Raw genomic sequence first — 18,780 nt, 5'->3', positions numbered from 1 at the left:
TTCCAGGAATTTGGACATGGACATCTTATGGGAAGGCATTATTGTGCCTGATGCAGTTACCTATTTAATAAGTTCGGTACTCCAAAGAAATAGACAGAGGTGCTTTGGGGTGATAAGCTAAAATACCCTGAATTTCATACCTAAGAGAATTTGAATCTGTTTTTACTCATCTATGGTTACTGTTAACAGAGCAGTAATTTTTTTCCTCTATGACTCTGTACCTTACAGGAACATGGGCTTGAGGTGAGGGGGAGTATCACAGGATTTACTTTATAATTCGTATCAGTCAGGGTATCACAAGGAAGCAGATTGCCACAGCTGGGTAATTTAAGGGGCGTTTAATAAAGGGACTATTTATGAAGGCAGTGTTTAGAATTCCAACCTGGTAATAAGGAAGAGCTGTTACCACTCTTAGCCTGAAGAGGCGGGGAGAGGGGGCGGGGACGGGGGAAGCAATGACCAGAACCGACAAAGGACAGCTGTGTGGAGAGGACTGCCTGATGAAAGGTGAAGTGGCCTTTAGGAGAGAAACACAGCTAACCCACAGCAACCTGACAGAGAGGGAAACAGAAGCATCAATGCCCCAGTTGCACTCTACTTCTGCCCTCCAGTGTCCTGTTGGCAGCTGTCATTGGACAAATGCAAGCAGAAGCCAAAGGGCCAAAGAGCCCATGGATACTGGTTTATCTTTGAGACACAGAGCAGCCTGGAGAAGAGAGAGAAATGTGAATCTGGAGGGGCTGCAGAAGGGGAAGAGGGAGGCTTAGGAAGTTATGATCGTTGAGTGCTTGAAAAGAGCTTAGACAGGCTGTTCTGGTCTCTGCCCCACCATGATCTCACTCACAACCCGACTGCTGGGTGGTCCTTCTCTCCCCCGACTTTTGGCAGGATCTTCTTCACCACTATGAGATGGTCCAGGTCAGATGGGGTGTGACCCTGGTGGCTTTGTCTGTGGACTCTTGGTTCTGAACTTACAGCCGCTGAAGTCATGCTTCTTGCTGCTGCTTTGGGCTATTTTGGCTTTTCCATGGTGCCCTATGTGTTGTTTCTCTTAAGGCCCTGACGATGTTCTTCTGAATCTTCCCTGGGGCCCCATGTGCTTTGAAGGGCCATTGTAGCTGGGGCCCTTCAAACAGGGTGCTCTGCCCCAGGCCTAAGTGCCCTTGGAGGCTCCCATGGCCTGGCCACCCCACAAGAGAGCTCCATGATTCTGCCCTCATTGACCAAGGCCTCATCAGATTGACCTAGCTACTGAGGGAGGGAAGTAGGGACCTGGTGGGAAAAAGGAAAGAAGCAGCCCGGAGGGAAGTGTGGACATGCCTGTGTGGGCCAGCCAAGGGACTGGGAGACAACCAGGTGACACTACCACCCAACCAAGCACCTCCCAGAGTCATTCAGCCTTTCTGAAAGGAAAAACCTTTCCACCCACTCTCATCATATGCAAAATCCTAACACAAAGTATAAAGAAGCAAAGCAAACAGTCAGCAAGAATTCATGACATTATGGATAGGAGGGCTTAAAAAAATCGGTGTCATATAACTGAGTCCTTCCAAAACAGCAGCTCCTAGTCCCTTCCCACTCCACCCATATGATTCTGGTGAGTGTTGCCCATTACTGTGAACTCCACACTCTGGCCAGGGGTATGTATCTCAGGATAAGTCAAAAAGAGTTTTCTGGCCGGGCACTGTGGCTCACGCCTGTAATTCTAGCATTTTGGGAGGCTGAGGTGGCTGGATCATCTGAGGTCGGGAGTTCAAGACTAGCCTGACCAATATGGAGAAACCCCGCCTCTACTAAAAATACAAAATTAGCTTGGCGTGGTGGCGCATGCCTGTAATCCCAGCTACTCGGGAGGCTGAGGCAGGGGACTTGCTTGAGCCCGGGTGGCGGAGGTTGAGGTAAGCTGAGATTGCGCTATTGCACTCCAGCCTGGGCAACAAGAGCGAGACTCCGTCTTCTTTCTTGGGTTTTCCAAACTGGAACTTTTTACAGGATGCTTTTAGTAAGCATCTGACTTGCTCTGCAGAAAAAGCCCATCTTTAGCTGGAAGAACAAAACCAATGTACAGAGGGAAACAAACATGAGAAGTGGAGAGATGAACACAAGAGAGCCCTGATGGCTTCAAGTCCCTGGATCTGGCCATCCTGAAAGATAGCTTGACTCCTGCCCTGTCTTCATTTTGGTCACGTGAGTCAGTTAATTCTCCCTTTTGCCTAAGGCAATTTGAGATGGATTCCTGTCACTCACAACCAAGGGTCTTGTATTGGGAAATCTGTCTTCCTTTAGACTAATAGCTAATTAATATGGTTTTCAAATATTAGCAAGAAATAACATCTAGACACTCGGCTACCTTGGAGAGATCTACCACTACTGAGCCTTGCCTACCTGGGCTGGGCTAGGCTCTACAAAGTACGTAGTGATGGAGGTGATGCTGGATGTGACGTCATAAAGCCAGCCTATGCCAGTGATCACAATATGCAGAATGTGCTCCCGGCTGTGGACGTAGTGATAGGCAGTGCTAAAGACATTAGCAACACCCTGTAGAGACAGAAAATTCAAATAGCCTATTCTTTTTAAAATAGAAAAATAATTAGTAATATAGTAATTGGATTACCTTTACCAGTAATTTAATTACTTCATGATAATCTACTTCCTACAAATTATTCAGCAGTCCTCAAAGGGCAGTGTTCCAGATTCTACTATTAAAAAAAAGGATCATCAAGAAATCAAAGTTATAGGCCAGGTGCCATGGCTCATGCCTGTAATCCCAGCACTTTGGGAGGCCAAGGCAGGGCGGATCACTTGAGGTCAGGAGTCTGAGACCAGCCTGGCCAACATGGTGAAACCCTGTCTCTACTAAAAATACAAATATTAGCTGGGCATGGTGGTGCACACCTGTAATCCCAGCTACTCAGGAGGCTGAGGCAGGACAATTGCTTGAACTCAGGAGGTGGAGGTTGCAGTGAGCTGAGATCGCAACACTGCACTCCAATCTGGGCAACAGAGCAAGTCTCACAAAAAAAAAAAAAAAAAAAAAAGAGGTATAAAGAGAGAGACCCACATACCTTTTTATGCTTTTGATAGTCATCCAGTGAAATTTGTGGTATGTGCTATTAGAGAATAGCATCAAAGGAACAAGATAAACTTTGAAATGAGAAAAAAATGTTAAAAAGCCAAGAACGAATGCCAATCTTAGGCAGGTGGGTAGGAGCTGCCTTGATCGGATGCCAATGTTAATGCCTGCATCTGTGCAGACATGGCCACTATCATCAGATCGACAGTATAGGACATGTTTGGTTCCAAGACCCACAGTGTGCTAGATTACGTAGTCCTCTTACAGGCATAAGGAGACCCTGTTCCACAGAGAAGGGATGGGAAATCTTTAGAACCCATATGTGGGCCTGTTGTCAGGAAACTCTAGGAATCACAAACTCTTCAAAATTATATGCCTTTTATATTAGGACTCAAGGCATCTAAGGGTAACCCAGAAGCCTTTACCTCTAAGGGCTAGAGTGCCAATGTATAATTCATTTTGAAAAGCTCTCTAGCAAGACTATATATACTTCACCTACTGATAACTCCATACTCCTCCATTTTAATATCTTCACATAATTCTTGTGTCAGATGAGAATGAATTTTATTATTGAAAATGTGTCCAGAGAAAGAGGTACTACCACTTTCCTCAACTATCCACCCAATAAATGGGAAGAGAAAGTGAAAAATAATGGTAAATAAACATAAAGAGCCAAAGGCTTACAGGGCAACAAATGATAAGGGCATAGCAAGTTCAAGTTCCTAACTTGCTGCTAGACTCCACAGTTCATTGTCTCCATAAAGGCTTTTGATCTTCCTTTATTGCAAGTTCTATCCATAAATTAAATAAAAATGCTTGTAGAAATGGTCTAGCTATTTCATGATCTTAAAAGTGCCTATCATTTTGTGATCTAATTTAAAAACATGAATACCCAAGAAACATTTAGGCCTTTTTCTTTATTTTTCATCCTCAAAAATTATAACACTGAAATCAAGACCTATGGGGATGCATATCAGAATTAGTACCATTTGTAGAAAGTACAAAAGATTTCTAGATAGATACCACTGTTAGTAAAACACAAATACGTCCCTTCTAAAAGTTCATTCCCGCTTTGTGGGTCTTAATGGTCAATGGTTGGATTTCTGTTCTGTAGCATAAAATTCTATTCCTGTGATTAATGCTATGGGACACATGAGGCTGAGGCATGGATATGTAACTGAGGCTGAAAGTCCTTCCATAAGTAATGGGGAACTTCTCAAAAGACTGAAACATACATTCAGGGAACAGGAGCAAGTATGATGATGTTATCTGTATACACAGCTTTACTCTCATCGGATTTCAGGTTTCACTCTTTAAAAAGTATTAGAAAGAGAGGCCATCCTACCATCGCTCTTGAAGACTTCTATGACTTACCTGATAGAATCTGATCTCATGAGGTAGAAAGATGTTTATTTCGTGGGGATCTCTAAGGGTATCAACAGCCAAGACCCCAAAGATCCTCATATATGCATCTTGAAGAGGCAGAGCCAGGAATGAACCATTATAATCATGCTTATTACGGGACTGGTTCCAGAAGAAGATGTTCCCATGGTACTGAACTTGGGGAACATGGATTGGCTTCCCTTCATCCACTACTGTAAAGCTGAGGAAAAAGAGTATGAGGATGGAAGAAAGGCACAGGGAGAGATTTAGATTAAACCATGGAGGAAACTAGAGCGATTCTCTATTCACAATCTGTGGCATTATATGACCGAGCAGTGGACTCAGATAAGATGACCAGTTTGGAGGTCTGACTTGAGAAAGACTAAAACAAAAACAAAACAAACAAACAAAAAAAAAAAAAACAAGCTTGGATGTGGACATAGAAAACAAATATAAACAGAACTCCAGAGACATAACTTATGGAGCAGGCAGAAATAATTGAGATGATATTGTGACGCAGAGTCCCCATGTGGCGAATCATTACCAAAGAGCGAGCTCTAGAAATAAGTGAAATCATCCAGGACTGGAAGCCATCAGCTTCTACTCCAGAAGCACTGGTGACTTGAGGCACCTCTCTTTTGAGCAGCTAGCTGGGATCTTGATGCCAGTTTACTCAGAAAGGGAATTATTTTTTTAGGAGGGTGAAACCAATCTCTTCAAGAAGTTCTTACCTGATTCCTTTCATGTCCCTGTAGAGCACTCTGTTCAGTACAAATTGAGCATCATCTAAGGTACAAGCCACATTCCTCAATAGAACATTCCCTTTCTCAGGCAGTAGTAGGTTTTCTTCTAAGAGGGAAATGTGAGCACTGATCTTTTTATTTCCATGGGCTTCAGCATCCTACAGCAAAACGTTTCCGACCATGTGTTTGCCAACAGCCAAAGAACTCCCCTAATCATGTCCCCCTTACTAGTTAATTCATGCATCTTGCCCCAGTAGTTTCATTTTCCTGAATAAAGAATGCATATATTACTATTCATGGGCAGTGGGGAAAAGGTTGACAGCATAGCTATCCTGTAAGTCTGAGTTTCAGTGGGTATAACGGGTTTCTTCTATGCCAACTGGACTGGTTTACCAGAAAAGAAAAACAAAACCAAAAAACTCTCAAGTCTACTCAAATTTAGAGGTTTAAAACTTGGATTCCTTTGACCTATGGTCAACTGTCTGTGTTTCTATTGAAAGTGTTGATTTGAGAGAGAGAGAGCTGGGCCAAGAAGTTGCCTTCACTTCACTCATATTTCTTGACCGTCGACTGTGATGTGAAAGTGAAAAAAAATGCTCTCGAGGAACTCTTAACACACTTTGTATATTTGATCTATGTAATTTCAGGAAGGATTTTTTTGTGGCCCAAGATTGCAGACTTTCTGCAACTACTATTTCTGCAACTATAAATTCTCTGTACCTTAAATATTATTATTATGTTATTAACAATATTATGTGTCAATATATACATTAAACATATCCATAAATTGGGGACATGTGAGACACTTTCCTTGATATTTTTCTCCTCTTTCTATATATTTGGGTTTGCTTTCCATGCCCTTTTCTTTTGCCTTTATTCCTTCTTTCCACATACAAGATCTATGGAGTCATTAACAAATATGTAGCGAGATTTCTCTTAGGATACCACAGACCTCTGAAGCAAGTTAGAACAATGCCTCTTCTTCTTGAGTGGTCTTTTGGTCCCGGTGCCCCATTTCCAACTACACTGGAAAATTCGGCCATTCAGGAGATGATTCAATTGAGCAAGTATCGCTATTTAGCTGAGATGACTGGCATAGGTTCCCTGGATTAGTGGAATCTATGATACATGTAGAAGGCGGCTGTGCTGTTTCTGCCTGTGAATAGCAGCAACCTGGGAGTCTCTGAGGAGGTGGCAAGGCTGTAGGCAGTAGCCCCTCAGGGCCATGCGTTCTAAGTGACAGGATTCTGCAGTAGTCTCAGCTTGCTTCTAGGCAATGCTGTGAAATATTGTGTGGTGTCAGACTCGATAATGAGTTTATGATTTAAATAGTTCCTTTTAAAACTGACTCCCAAAATACCATGCAAGGGAAATGTAGCTTGAACTGCTTGTACATCTCCTTACTGATATTGTTCATAATCTGTCTATTGTCCATTCTAGGCTTATTTGACTCTTAGCAGAAATGAAATTAGAAATCCCAAGACATCTTTTCTACATCTGTCTTTTCTACCTTTCTCCTCTGCTTCTATCTTGTCAACCAGCAGTCACTCCAGTTGTATCTCTCCTAGGCTTTGGGCCATTTGTAATGGACTGGAATGAATAAAATATCTACAGCAGCACCCAGTGATTTTTCAAGAGAATTCAAGATGCTCCTCTTTTGCAAACATTGAACATCGCCTACTTTGAGGAAATGTTTCCTCTTACATACTGCTTTAGGAAACGTACCTGCATGAGGGCCTTAAAGGTCTCACTATACACCGGCTCTAGGGACACCCCACTTGTCTCTGCAGCACATTGGATTTGGTGCAGCCATTTCCGCCTGGCAGAATTCCTCAGACTCTCAATGTGGCTCCTCTCTAAAGCATTCATCAGAAATTCCACAACACTTTCCAGAACTTGGTCTTCATTGCCCCTGAGTTCAGACACAACCAATTCTATGTAATTCTGAAATTGTTTTGAAGACAATCTCACTTCGTGACCAGGGTGTGGCTTTGGAAATTGGATGTGTAGTTTAGCTAAAAGACACAAACACGAAACCAAGAACTAACCAAAAGTTCACTCATTGGTGGGGGGGATTTTCATTCTCCTCTTACGATGAACTGAAGCCCTGGGCAACTGCTCTCCTGGAAAACCAAGTATACCAAAGGCATCTCTGAGCCCAGTGGAATATGTTACAATGAATTTCTATGTTGAACTCAATATGACTCCTGTGTCAGCTTCTGTTTTTGTTTTGTTTTAATTTTACCACCTAGCCTGGTGAAACCTCAAGGTTTGCTTTGACTCCTTCCCTACCTTTTGCCTTCCATATCCAATAAACCACTTAATTCTATCCTGTTACTCTTTGGCAGTGTGGCCACTCCTCTCCTTTCATACTTTCATAACCCCAGAGCCAGCGTTTATCACTTTGTAATTGACTTAACAATAGTAAATGCTCAATACGTGTTTGTAAAATTAAATTAAAACACAACTTGCATTATGCAATTCCCTGGTTCAAAGTCCTACCATATTTGGATCCAGTCTATTTCTAATCACATCTGCCCGTAAGGCCATATAGGAATTATCTACTGCAGTATCTCCATTCTACTCATGGTCCCTGTCCATGTCTTGCACACTTCTGTATTCACATGTCTTCTCTATTTTTGTAATTGTATAATCATGAACCTACTACCAAACCTGAACATTACCAGTAACATATATTCTTCTATGATCTGCCCTATTCCATTCCCTGCCTCCCCACACTTCCCACTGATATCCTGAATTTGGCTTTATCTTTACCTTTCTTGTAATTTTCCCAATGTTATTATAGTTACATAGCAATATATGTGTTCTACACATACACACACACACATGCACACACGCATATGCACACACACTTCTAAACAACACGTGGTTTCGTTTTGCATTTTTTATTTATTTATTTATCTTTTTGAGACTGAGTCTAGCTCTGTAGCCCAAGCTGGAGTGTAGTGGCACAATCTTGGCTTACTGCAACCTCCATCTCCCAGATTCAAATGATTCTCCTGCCTCAGCCTCCCAAGTAGCTGGGATTACAGATGTGCACCACTATGCCTGGCTAATTTTTATATTTTCAGTAGAGGTGGGGTTTCACTATACTGGCCAGGCTGGTCTCTAACTCCTGACCTCAGATGATCTGCCCACCTCAGCGTCCCAAAGTGCTGGGATTACAGGTGTAGCCACTGTGCCCAGCCAGTTTTGCATGTTTATAAACTTTAGAAAAAGGTTAGCAAACTATGTGTAGTTTTCTGGACATGCTTTTTTATTCAACACTATGCTACATATCTTCCATGTTGTTTATCTTTTCAACATATCTTTCTATGTTGTTACTGTAGCTATGATTCATTCATTTTCACCAATGTGTGTTACTATGTGAGTATATCATTACTGATTTATTCTACAGTCAGTGGGTGTTTCGGTTATTCTCAATATTTTACTCATATGAACAGTGTTATGAGCATTTTGTAAATGTCTCCTGGTGCATATGTGCAAGATTCTTTGACAGTTATAAATTAGTAAGTCACAGGGTATGTACCCTTCCCCTTTAAAGTATAGTTCAAAGTTCCTCCTCCCTCAAGAAGACTTCCGTTGTGATTTCTCCTTCTCTTGAAAGACGATAGCATCTATTCTACACCATTTATTTGACAATTAACAAATACTACCTGGCACTCGCAGACATCACATCATGTGTGAGTTTCTCATTTCTGTAGTTGAACATTTATTGATTTTTTGCTCCTTAGCACCCACTCACCTTTCTCTTAGTAATTTTATCTCTAATTTTGCTTTGGGGAAACAACTTCATTCCCATCTCTGATCATGTGTTTGAATGGGGTTCCACTCATAGTTCTAGAGGTGGAGCATGTGCCTTAGGCTTAAGCCAGTCATGACATTCTATTCCTTTAGCCAGAGTGGTTGGTTTAGTACAGACTAATGCCAGACTTTTTGATTGAATGATTAGGAAGAAGACACTTTCTTTTTTATTTCCATTGGACTTGAATGAAACTGTGAGCATGTGAAACTGGACCTGGTTACCACAAAGGTAGAGGTTCTATGATAGTGCAGCTAAAACAGAAGAGAGCAAGACAAAGAGAAAGAACCAGACAGCTGTCCTAATGTCATTATTTGGACTCCCAAATCTAGTTGTGTCCTAAACTAGTACCGGACTTTTTCATTGTATGAACCAATAAGTTCCTCTTATGTGTAACCACTTTGGGTTGTGTTCTCTCTTACTTGAGCCAAAAGGATCTTAACTAGTACAATCCTCAATTAGATTAAAAGTGCCTTGTGGATTCTTCATCTTCCATTTCTTCTTCTTTTTCCCCTTTCATTCTTTTGCCTCCTTGAACAATTTGATCCTAAAGCCATTAGGTGGGGCAGAGCAAGGTAAGCATCTGTTTCTGGACAGGTGAAGCCAATGTGGCACCTAGCAGGGTATCAGGGCCCAAATCTGTGCAGGGTTAGCTGGGCATGGGTTGTCAGAGCCTGAGCAGAGCGAGGAGGGTATCCATGTGGAAGGGCAACCTTCAGTCCATGTGGGTAAAGACGCTGGCCTTACAGAGAGGTGGTTTAACTTGGGTGTCAGATTCCAAGCAGTACAAACAGGGTATCCGTATGAGATGGATGCCCAACATGGGGTGTTTAATCTTGAGCAGGGTGAGGAGGGCATCCAAATCGAGGGATGGCCTGGCCTGGGAAGTCAGAACCTAAACAGGGTGAGGAGGGTGTCTACATGGAAGGGCCATCCACATAGGCTGGGGGTCAGCTCAGCATAAGGAGTCAGAGCCTGAGTGAATTGACAAGGGAATCCACATGAAAATGTGCCTTGGCATGGAGTGTCAGAGCCTAAGGACTATGTAAAGGGCATCCACTTGGAGGGGGTGATCTGTTGAGGGGTGTCAGAACCTAAGCAGAGTAAGGAGGATAGCCATGTGGGAAGGGCCGATTAGTGCAAGATGTTAAAACTTAAATGTAGTAAGAAGGAAATCAGTGTGGAAGAGAGGACAGCGACAGTGATGGGAGATTAGTTCCATATAGAACTAATGGATTCATTGGGGGATTGATCAAATAAATAAATATATTTAGGTTAACACAAACCAGAGAAAAGGGAACTACAAAAGGGAATGAGAAGAAACTAGAATGAACCCTGTTGTGTTGGATTAGACTTGGAATTACCAGTGTGAACTCATGGTTTTTAATATTAGTAGACAGAAAGGTATGTACAGATATAAATGTGTACATACATTTACATACACAGGCATGCACGCACACACACACACAGTTTCTACATCTGTCCACTGAGAAATCTGAGAGAGGAGACTCATGAGTAATGAGCACATGTAGAACCCAGATGCTGGCTTGGGGAGATGAATAATTCCAGGGTGAAAGCAGGGAAAATATAAGATCAACCTGGAAGATCTCTTTGTGCCAGAAAGCAAGGACGTGCTCAAAGAATGAGGGATGCATGTTAAAAGGATGCAGAAAATTGGCAGTTTTTTATAAAGCTAAACATATATAGACCCTGTGGCCTAGAAATTCCACTCCTAAGTATTTATTAATAAGAAATGAAAACATATTCACCAGAAGATTTACTTAAGATTGTGCAGAGTAGCTTTATTTATAATAGCTAAGAACTGGAAACAGCCCAGGTGTCCATACATAGGAAAACGGATAAACAAACCATGGTGTATTCATACAATGGAATACTACTCAGCAATAAAAAGAAGCAAATTGCTGATACATGTAGCAACATATTAAGACTCTCAAGAAAAATTATGCTGAGTCAACCAGGCCCAGTGGCTTATGAATATAATTCAGAGCTTTGGGAGGCTAAGGAGGGAGGATCACTTGAGGCCAGGAGTTAGTGGCCAGCCTGGGCAACATGGTGAGACCTTGTCTCTACAAAAAGTTTATAAACTAGCCAGGCATGGTGGTGTGCACCTGTAGTCTCCCAGCTACTCGGGATGCTGAGGCGGGAGGATTGCTTGAGCCCAAGAGTTCAAGGCTGCAGTGAGTTATGATCACATGCCACTACACTCCAGCTTGGGCAACAGAGTGAGACTCTGTCTCCCCCAAAAAATTTTTAAAAAAGTAAAAATTATGCTGAGTGAAAGAAGCCTTACAAAAAGAGTACATAGAGTTTAAACTCTGTAAAAAAAGATGCATACTGTATAATTTCATTTTTATGAAATTCCAGAAGAGATAAAACTAATTTATGGTAGAAAATAGAAAAGTGGTTGCTTTGGGGATTGGAGGGTGGACGACTGAATGGGAAAGAGGTGTGGGGACTTTTTTTGTTCTATATCTTTTATTTATTTTTTTTAAGAGATGGTTTTTGCAATGTTACCCAGGCTGATCTTGAACTCCTGGGCTCAAGCAATCTTCCTGCCTCTGCCTCTTGAGTAGCTGGGATTACAGGTGAGTGTCACAGTGCTCTTTGTTCTGTATCTTGATAGGAGTATGGGATGCATAGGGCATGTATTTGTCAAAACTCAGCAAATATACACTTAAAATTTTTGCATCTCATTTTATGGAAATTTGGTCTCAAGAGGAAAAAACTTCCTTCTTTCCCTACGGGCAAAAAGAAAGAAAAAAGCTGTTAACAAATATCGAACTCTAATGAATGATATGCATGCTGAGGTATTTAGGGAGAAATGTATTGATTTCTATAATTTACTTAAAATGGACCACATGCATCAAAAATAAGAGAGATGGAAGGAGAGAGGGACAGAGAGATGAATAGACAGATTAAAAAGTGAGGTAAAATATTAATGATAGAATTTATGTTGTGGGTATATAGGTACTTGCTGTAAAATTCTTTCAGCTTTGCCATCTTTGACAGTTTTCATACTGAAATGCTGGGGTCGGGCATGGTGGCTCATGCCTGTAATCCCAGCACTTCGGGAGACTGAGGTGAGAGGATTGCTTAAGGCCAGGAGTTTGTGACCAGCATGGGCAACACAGAGAGACCCCATCCATACCAAAAATTAGAAAAATTAGCCAGGCCTGATGATGCACACCTGTAGTCCCAGTTGCTCAGGAGTCTGTGATGGGATGATCGCTTGAGTCCGGGAGTTGGAGGCTGCAGTGAGCTACAGTTGCGCCACTGCACTCCAGCCTGGCGACAGAGTGAGACCTGGTCTCAAAAAAAAAAAAATAAAGGTTGGGCATGGGGAGGGGAGGACACAGGAGCCAGAGTGCAGAGTGAAAGAACTCCCATTGTCTAAAACTGGGACAATATGAGTATCAAAACAAATAGTGATAATATTGGAATATAACCCATTGAATAAAAAAGGAAACCATGAATACATACTGCTATAAATGAATAAATGAAAAGTTGACAAAAAGGAAGAATGGTTTATATGGTTTCAATGGACACCCATTAAATACTTATTAATTACAAAGAGGAAAAATGTAGCTTTAAAGTGGAGGGGCCTGACAGATATAATCTTAATCAACTGGTCAACGTTATTACTATAGGACTTTTGATAAGATACAATAAGAAGAACACAGCATTGCTTCTGTGATATATTTCTGACAAAGATGAATAACCTGAATTTAACCATGGGGAAACAGTAGATAAATCTAAATGAAGGACATACTGCAACCAACTTATAATCTTCAAAAGTGTCAAGGTTATGGAAATCAAAGAAAGATGGAAGAGTTTCTTAGAGATTCTTTATTCCAGAGTTCCAGAGCAAAGGAATAGCATCAGGAATTTTATGCTAGCTACTTATCCAGTTTTCAGTTTCTTTAAAAAACTCTTGTGTACTTTTCAATGAGACTTTTAAATAACTATGGTTCTTAATTTTCATGGTTTCTGTAACTTTGTGACAAAAAGTATCACCAAAATGTTTTTTGTTGTTGTTGTTTTGTTTCAAAATAAATGTTTTATTACTTCCAACTGTATTTTTTGCCTTTATTATTTTTAATTGATGCATACTTGTCCATATTTATGGGGTACAGAGTGTTATTTCAACACATGTAGACAATATGTAATACTCAAATCAGCATAATGAGCATATTCATCACCTCAAACATTTATCACTTCTTTGTGTTGGGAACATTCAAAATCTGCTCTTTTAGCTATTTGAAAATATACAACCAATTGCTGTTAATTATAGTCACTCTACAGTGCTATAGAACACTATAACTTACGCCTCATATCTAGATGTACTTTTGTATCCATTAACCAACCTTTGGATATCCCCTCTACCCTTAACCTTCCCTGTCTCTAGTAATCACTATTCTACTTTCTCTTTAAATAAGCTCAACTTTTTTAGCTTCAACATATGAGTAAGAACATGTAATATTTATCTTTTTTGTGCCTGGCTTATTTCATTTAACACAATGCCCTCCAAGCTCATCTACGTTGTGGCAAATGACAGATTTTTTTCTTTTTGGTGGCTAAATACTATTCCATTGTATATATAGACCAAATTTTCTTTATCCATTCATCTGTTGATAGACACTTAAGCTGATCTCATATCTCAGCTATTGTGAGTAATGCAGCAATAAACATGGGAATGTAGAAATCTCTTTAACATACTTATTTCCTTTCTTTTGGATATATACTTTGAGTGAGATTAGATCATATGGTAGTTCTGTTTTTAGTGTTTTGAGGGACCTCTATACTGTTTTCAATAGTGGCTCTACTAATTTACATCCCACCAACAAGGTATAAGAGTTTCCCTTTGTCTGCATCCTCGCCAGCATTTGTTATTTTTTGTCTTTTTAGTAATAGCCATTCTAGCCAGGGTGAGATAATACTTCATTGTGGTTTTGATTTGTATTTCCCTGATTAGTGATGTTAAGCATTTTTTCAAATACCTGTTGGCCATTTTTATTTTCTTTTGAGAGATGTCTATTCAGCTCATTTACCCATTTTAAATTTGAATTATTTGATTTTTCTTTTTCTTTTTTTGGCTATTGCTTTGTTTGAGTTCCTTATATATTTTGAATATTAATCCCTTGTCAGATGAATAGTTTGAAAATATTTTCTCCCCTTCTGCAAGTTGTCTCTTCACCCCATTGATTGTTTCCTTTGCACTGCAGAAGCTTTTTAAAAGTTTGATAGAATCCCGCTTGTCTAATTTTGCTTTTGTTGCCTGTGCTTTTGAGGTCTTCCCCATAAAATATTTGCCTAAACCAATGTCCTGAAGTGTTTCCCTCATGTTTTCTTCAGTAGTTTCATAGTCTAGGGGTCTTACATTTAAGTCTTTGATCCATTTTAAATTGAATTTTTTTTTTTTTTTTTTTTTTTTTTTTTGAGATGGAATCTCGCTCTGTCACCCAGGCTGGAGTGCAGTGGCGCAATCTCGGCTCATTGCAACCTCTGCCTCCTGGGTTTAAGCAATTTTCCTGCCTCAGCCTCCCGAGTAGCTAGGACTACAGGCACGTGCCACCATGCCTGGCTAATTTTTGTATTTTTAGTAGAGACAGGGTATTGCCATGTTGGCCAGGCTGGTCTGGAACTCCTGATCTCAGGTAATCCACCTGCCTCAGCCTCCCAAAGTGCTGGGATTACAGGTGTAAGCCACAGTGCCTGGCCCGAGAGATAGGGGTCTAGTTTTATTTTCCTTCATATGAACATCCAATTTCCCCAGCATTATTTGTTGAAGTAACTCTCCCTTCCCCAATGAATGTTCTTGGTACCTTTGTTGAAAATCAGTTGGCTGTAAATATATGGATTTCTTTCTGGGTTCTCTATTCTGTTCCATTGGTCTATGTGTTTTTATGCCAGTACCATGCTGTTTTGGTAACTAGACATTTGTAGTATATTTTAAAGTCTGATAGTGTGATGCCTCTTTGTTCTTTTTGTTCAGGATTATTTTGGCTATCCATGGCATTTTGTGATACCATATGAATTTTAGAATTTTTTTTTATTTCTATGAAAAATGCTATTGGTATTTGATCAGGATTGTATGGAAACTGTAGATTGCTTTTGGTAGTATGGTCATTTTTCATTTTCTTTTTCTTCTTTTTTTTTAAGGGGCTGTAATTGTATTTATTAGATTAATAAGGCAAATGTGAATTTTCTTTTCTATAATCCAGTGAGTCTGTTTATTGGTTGACTCAGACAGACAAGAAGCCACAAGGAAACAAAGAAGTAATCATTTGTTGAGAGACGTTATTAAACTATGTTCTTCCCTGAAGCTACTGGGATGGGAAAGGTCAGTGACTTCCTTTGAACCCTGAGACAACTGGGGGCTCTGGAGGCCTGCTGTGCCCCTGCTACTGGAGCAGCCCCCCCTGCCAAGGCGGCCTCAAGTTCAGGAGCAGCTAATCACCAGCTCCAGCATTCAGTTTGTCTAGCCTTATGATAGCTACATAGGCCACTTCCCATTGGTGTGCAGTGTTTTCTTTTTCAGCTGCGAAATGGGCTGAACACTATCGGCCTGGGTATCCCTTTTTGGGGAATATGTCCGTCTGTCTGAACCCCTTTCTCTTAAAATGGCTCTGTGATAAAATGTGGTCATACCATGCTCCAGCACCGGGGGTACATGAGACTACGGCGGGTACATGAGAGTACACAGCCTGTGAGCGCCCATGCAGACTCTCGTGCTGGGCCCCCGTGGCCCAGGCTAGCTGTGGTACCAGTCGAGGAAGAGCAAGGAGAAGGAGCACATCACGAGGAAGAAGAGGATCCATACGCGGAAGCCAGCGTTGTTTTTAATGGCCTCTCTTATGTCTTCGTTGCCTTCCTTGATATTTTCAGTTGCCCCCACAACTAACTGGTGAACGCCATCAATCTCAGCTTCCTGTTGCAAAACCTTTTCCGTGAATATCTCTTGAAGTCTGGAAATCTCAACCACTCTCCCTTTGATCTGCCTCACTTCATCAAACAAGCTGTTCATTTCACCAATTAGTCGCTGATTTTCCTGTTCAAACATTTGTATTTCTTCTGGGGATAACTCATCTTCACCTTTGCCATCTCCCCATGTTCCCAATTCAGGTTGTCTTTCAGTCAAAATCTTTTCTGGATGTTCTTCAGTGGCAGGGTTTTCTTCAGTCTTTTGAAGGACACTGTGAAACTTTCTCAGAAGATGTGGATTCTCTTGTCTTTGCATTTGGTTCTGGTTCCAGCTTAGATATTCTTTTCTTATCCACCACTCTTTTAACTCGGATGGCTCTTTGTTCTGAGTAAAGTTTACACACTTTTTTTAAGTAATCTTCAATGAAATCCAGAACAGCAGTCCTGTGCTCCTTCACTTGCTGGGAATGTATCTCCTTGTGAGCTTCTGTTCGTAGTTGTTGAATTGCTTCTGAACAGGTCCTCATGAATATCTGGACATCCTGGTCTATTTGGTCTCGTTCTGTGTCTGTCATCCTCCCATATTCAGACATGGTATGGCTATAAGCATTAATATAATCTTTCCTGTGTTCCAGAAGAAAATCTCTCAGTTTGCCACTGTGAGAAATCATTTCGCGGGCCCGGCTGGAGAAGTTGCCCTTGGGCCAGGGACTCCTGCGGAACAGCTCATCCCGGCTGCCATCGACTCTGCCACCCACTGCCACTCCCAGTGCCTTGTTCTGCGTCTTCACGGTCTTGACGCTGGCCCGGAATAGCAGCGTGATGTCCACCGCCCTAGCGACCCGCACAGGCAGCCCCACAAGGGACCTGCCCATGTCAGCAGCTGGTGACAGCGGTAGTATGGTCATTTTCACAATATTAATTCTTCCAATCCATGAACATGAGATGTCTTTCCATTTTTTGGTGTCCTCTTCATTTTCTTTCATCAACGTTTTATAGTTTTCCTTGTAGACGTCTTTCACCTCCCTGGTTATATTTATTCCTATGTATTTTATTTTTTATTTTTGTAGCTACTGTAAATGGGGTTACTTTTTAAATTTCTTTTTCCTCTAGTTAATTGCTAGTGTATAGAAATGCTACTGATTTTTTTTTTTTCTTTTTTTGAGATGGAGTCTCACTCTGTTGCCCAGGCCGGAGTGCAGTGGCGCCATCTCAGCTCACTGCAAGCTCCGCCTCCTGGGTTCACACCATTCTCCTGCCTCAGCCTCCCGAGTAGCTGGGGCTACAAGCGTGCCACCACGCCCTGCTAATTTTTGTATTTTTAGTAGAGACGGGGTTTCACCGTGTTAGCCAGGATGGTCTTGATCTCCTGAACTGGTGATCCACCCGCCTCCGCCTCCCAAAGTCCTGGGATTACAGGCGTGAGCCACCGCGCCCGGCCTACTGATTTTTATATGTTGATTTTGTATCCTGCAACTTTACTGAATTCGTTTATCCGTTTTAATAATTTTTTGGTGGAGCTTTTAGGGTTTTTTAATATATAAGATCATGTCATCTGCAAACAGGGACAATTTGACTTTCTCTTTTCCAATTTGGATGCCCTTTATTTCTGTCTCTTTCCTAACTGCTCTGGCTAAGACATCTAGAATAGACAGATGTTGAGTAAAAGTGGTGAAAGTGGTTATCTTTGTCTCATTCCAGATCTTAGAAAAAAAGATTTCAACTTTTGCCCATTTAGTATGATGTTGCCTTTGTTATGTATGGCCTTTCTTGTGTTGAGGTATTTTCCTTCTAAACCTAACTTGTTGAGAGTTTTTATCATGAAGGAATATTGAATATTTATCAAATGCTTTTCCTGCATCTATTGAGATAGTCATGTAATTTTTTGTCTATTCTGTTGATGGGATGTATCATGGTTATTTTATGTTAAATCATCTTTGCATTATTGGGATAAATCTCAGTTGATCAGGGTGAATGATCTTTTATTTCCTTATTATTATTATTATTTTTTAAATAGAGACAGGGTCTTGTTATGTTGCCCAGACTAGTCTCAAACTATTGGGCTCAAGTGAGCCTCCTGCCCTGGCCCCCCAAAGTGCTGGGATTAGAGGTAAAGGCCGCCACACCCAGCCTTTCTTTTATTCTCTGTGTGAATGATCTTTTTAATGTGTTGCTGGATTCAGTTTGCTAGAATTTTGTTGAGAATTCTTACATTTGTGTTCATTAGGGATACCGGCTTATAATTTCTGTTTCTGTTGTTGTTGTGTTCTTGTCTGGTGTTAGTATTAGCATAATGCTGGCCTCATAGAATGAGTTTGGAAGAATTCCCTCCTCTTCAATTTTCTAAAAGAGTTTGAGAAGAACTGATATCAGATAATCTTTAAATATTTGGTAGAAAGCCACAGTGGAGCCATCAGATCCTGGGCTTTTCTTTGATGAGAGACATTTTATTACAGATTAAATCGTGTTAATTGTGATTGGTCTGTTCAGGTTTTCTATTTCTTTTTGCTTCAATCTTGGTAGGCTGTATGTGTCCAGGAATTTATCCATTTCTGCTAGGTTTTCTATTATGTTGGCATATAGTTTGTAATAGTCACTAATGATTCTGTGTATTGCTGTGGTATCAGTTGTAATGTCTCCTTTTTCATTTCTAATTTTATTCATTTGGGTCTTTTTTTTTCTTGGTTAGTCTAGCTAATGGTTTGGCAATATGGTTTATCTTTTACAAAACCAACTTTTTGTTTTGTTGATTTTTTGGTTATTTTTTGGTCTCAATTGTATTTATTTGTGCTTTGATCTTTATTATTTCTTTTTTT

General features: G+C 40.8%; 1 protein-coding gene and 1 pseudogene across 16 annotated transcripts in view; both read right to left on the bottom strand.

Moving 5' to 3' along the window:
* EFCAB5 (EF-hand calcium binding domain 5) overlaps positions 1-18,780 on the bottom strand; it is a 178,550-nt gene that overhangs the window by 23,024 nt on the left and 136,746 nt on the right. For 11 of the 16 annotated variants that reach the window (XM_024450742.1, XM_024450743.1, XM_047435947.1 and 8 more), the window contains 4 exons: positions 6,925-7,214; positions 5,188-5,357; positions 4,448-4,676; positions 2,386-2,538 (listed from right to left, as the gene is read on the bottom strand). In XM_024450742.1, coding sequence (XP_024306510.1) covers positions 2,386-2,538; positions 4,448-4,676; positions 5,188-5,357; positions 6,925-7,214 — 842 coding nt within the window. Of the gene's footprint in view, positions 1-2,385; positions 2,539-4,447; positions 4,677-5,187; positions 5,358-6,924; positions 7,215-10,798; positions 11,782-12,230; positions 12,347-18,780 lie in introns of those variants that run through there. The other 5 variants (NR_026738.2, NM_001145053.2, XM_047435949.1 and 2 more) reach the window with 2 other exon arrangements.
* On the bottom strand, positions 15,629-16,860 carry STX18P1 (syntaxin 18 pseudogene 1; annotated as a pseudogene).

The sequence above is a fragment of the Homo sapiens genome, chromosome 17 (assembly GCF_000001405.40).
Source record: "Homo sapiens chromosome 17, GRCh38.p14 Primary Assembly".
In the NCBI taxonomy this organism is placed as follows: Eukaryota; Metazoa; Chordata; class Mammalia; order Primates; family Hominidae; genus Homo; species Homo sapiens.
This window is presented reverse-complemented; position numbering and strand designations above follow the sequence as displayed.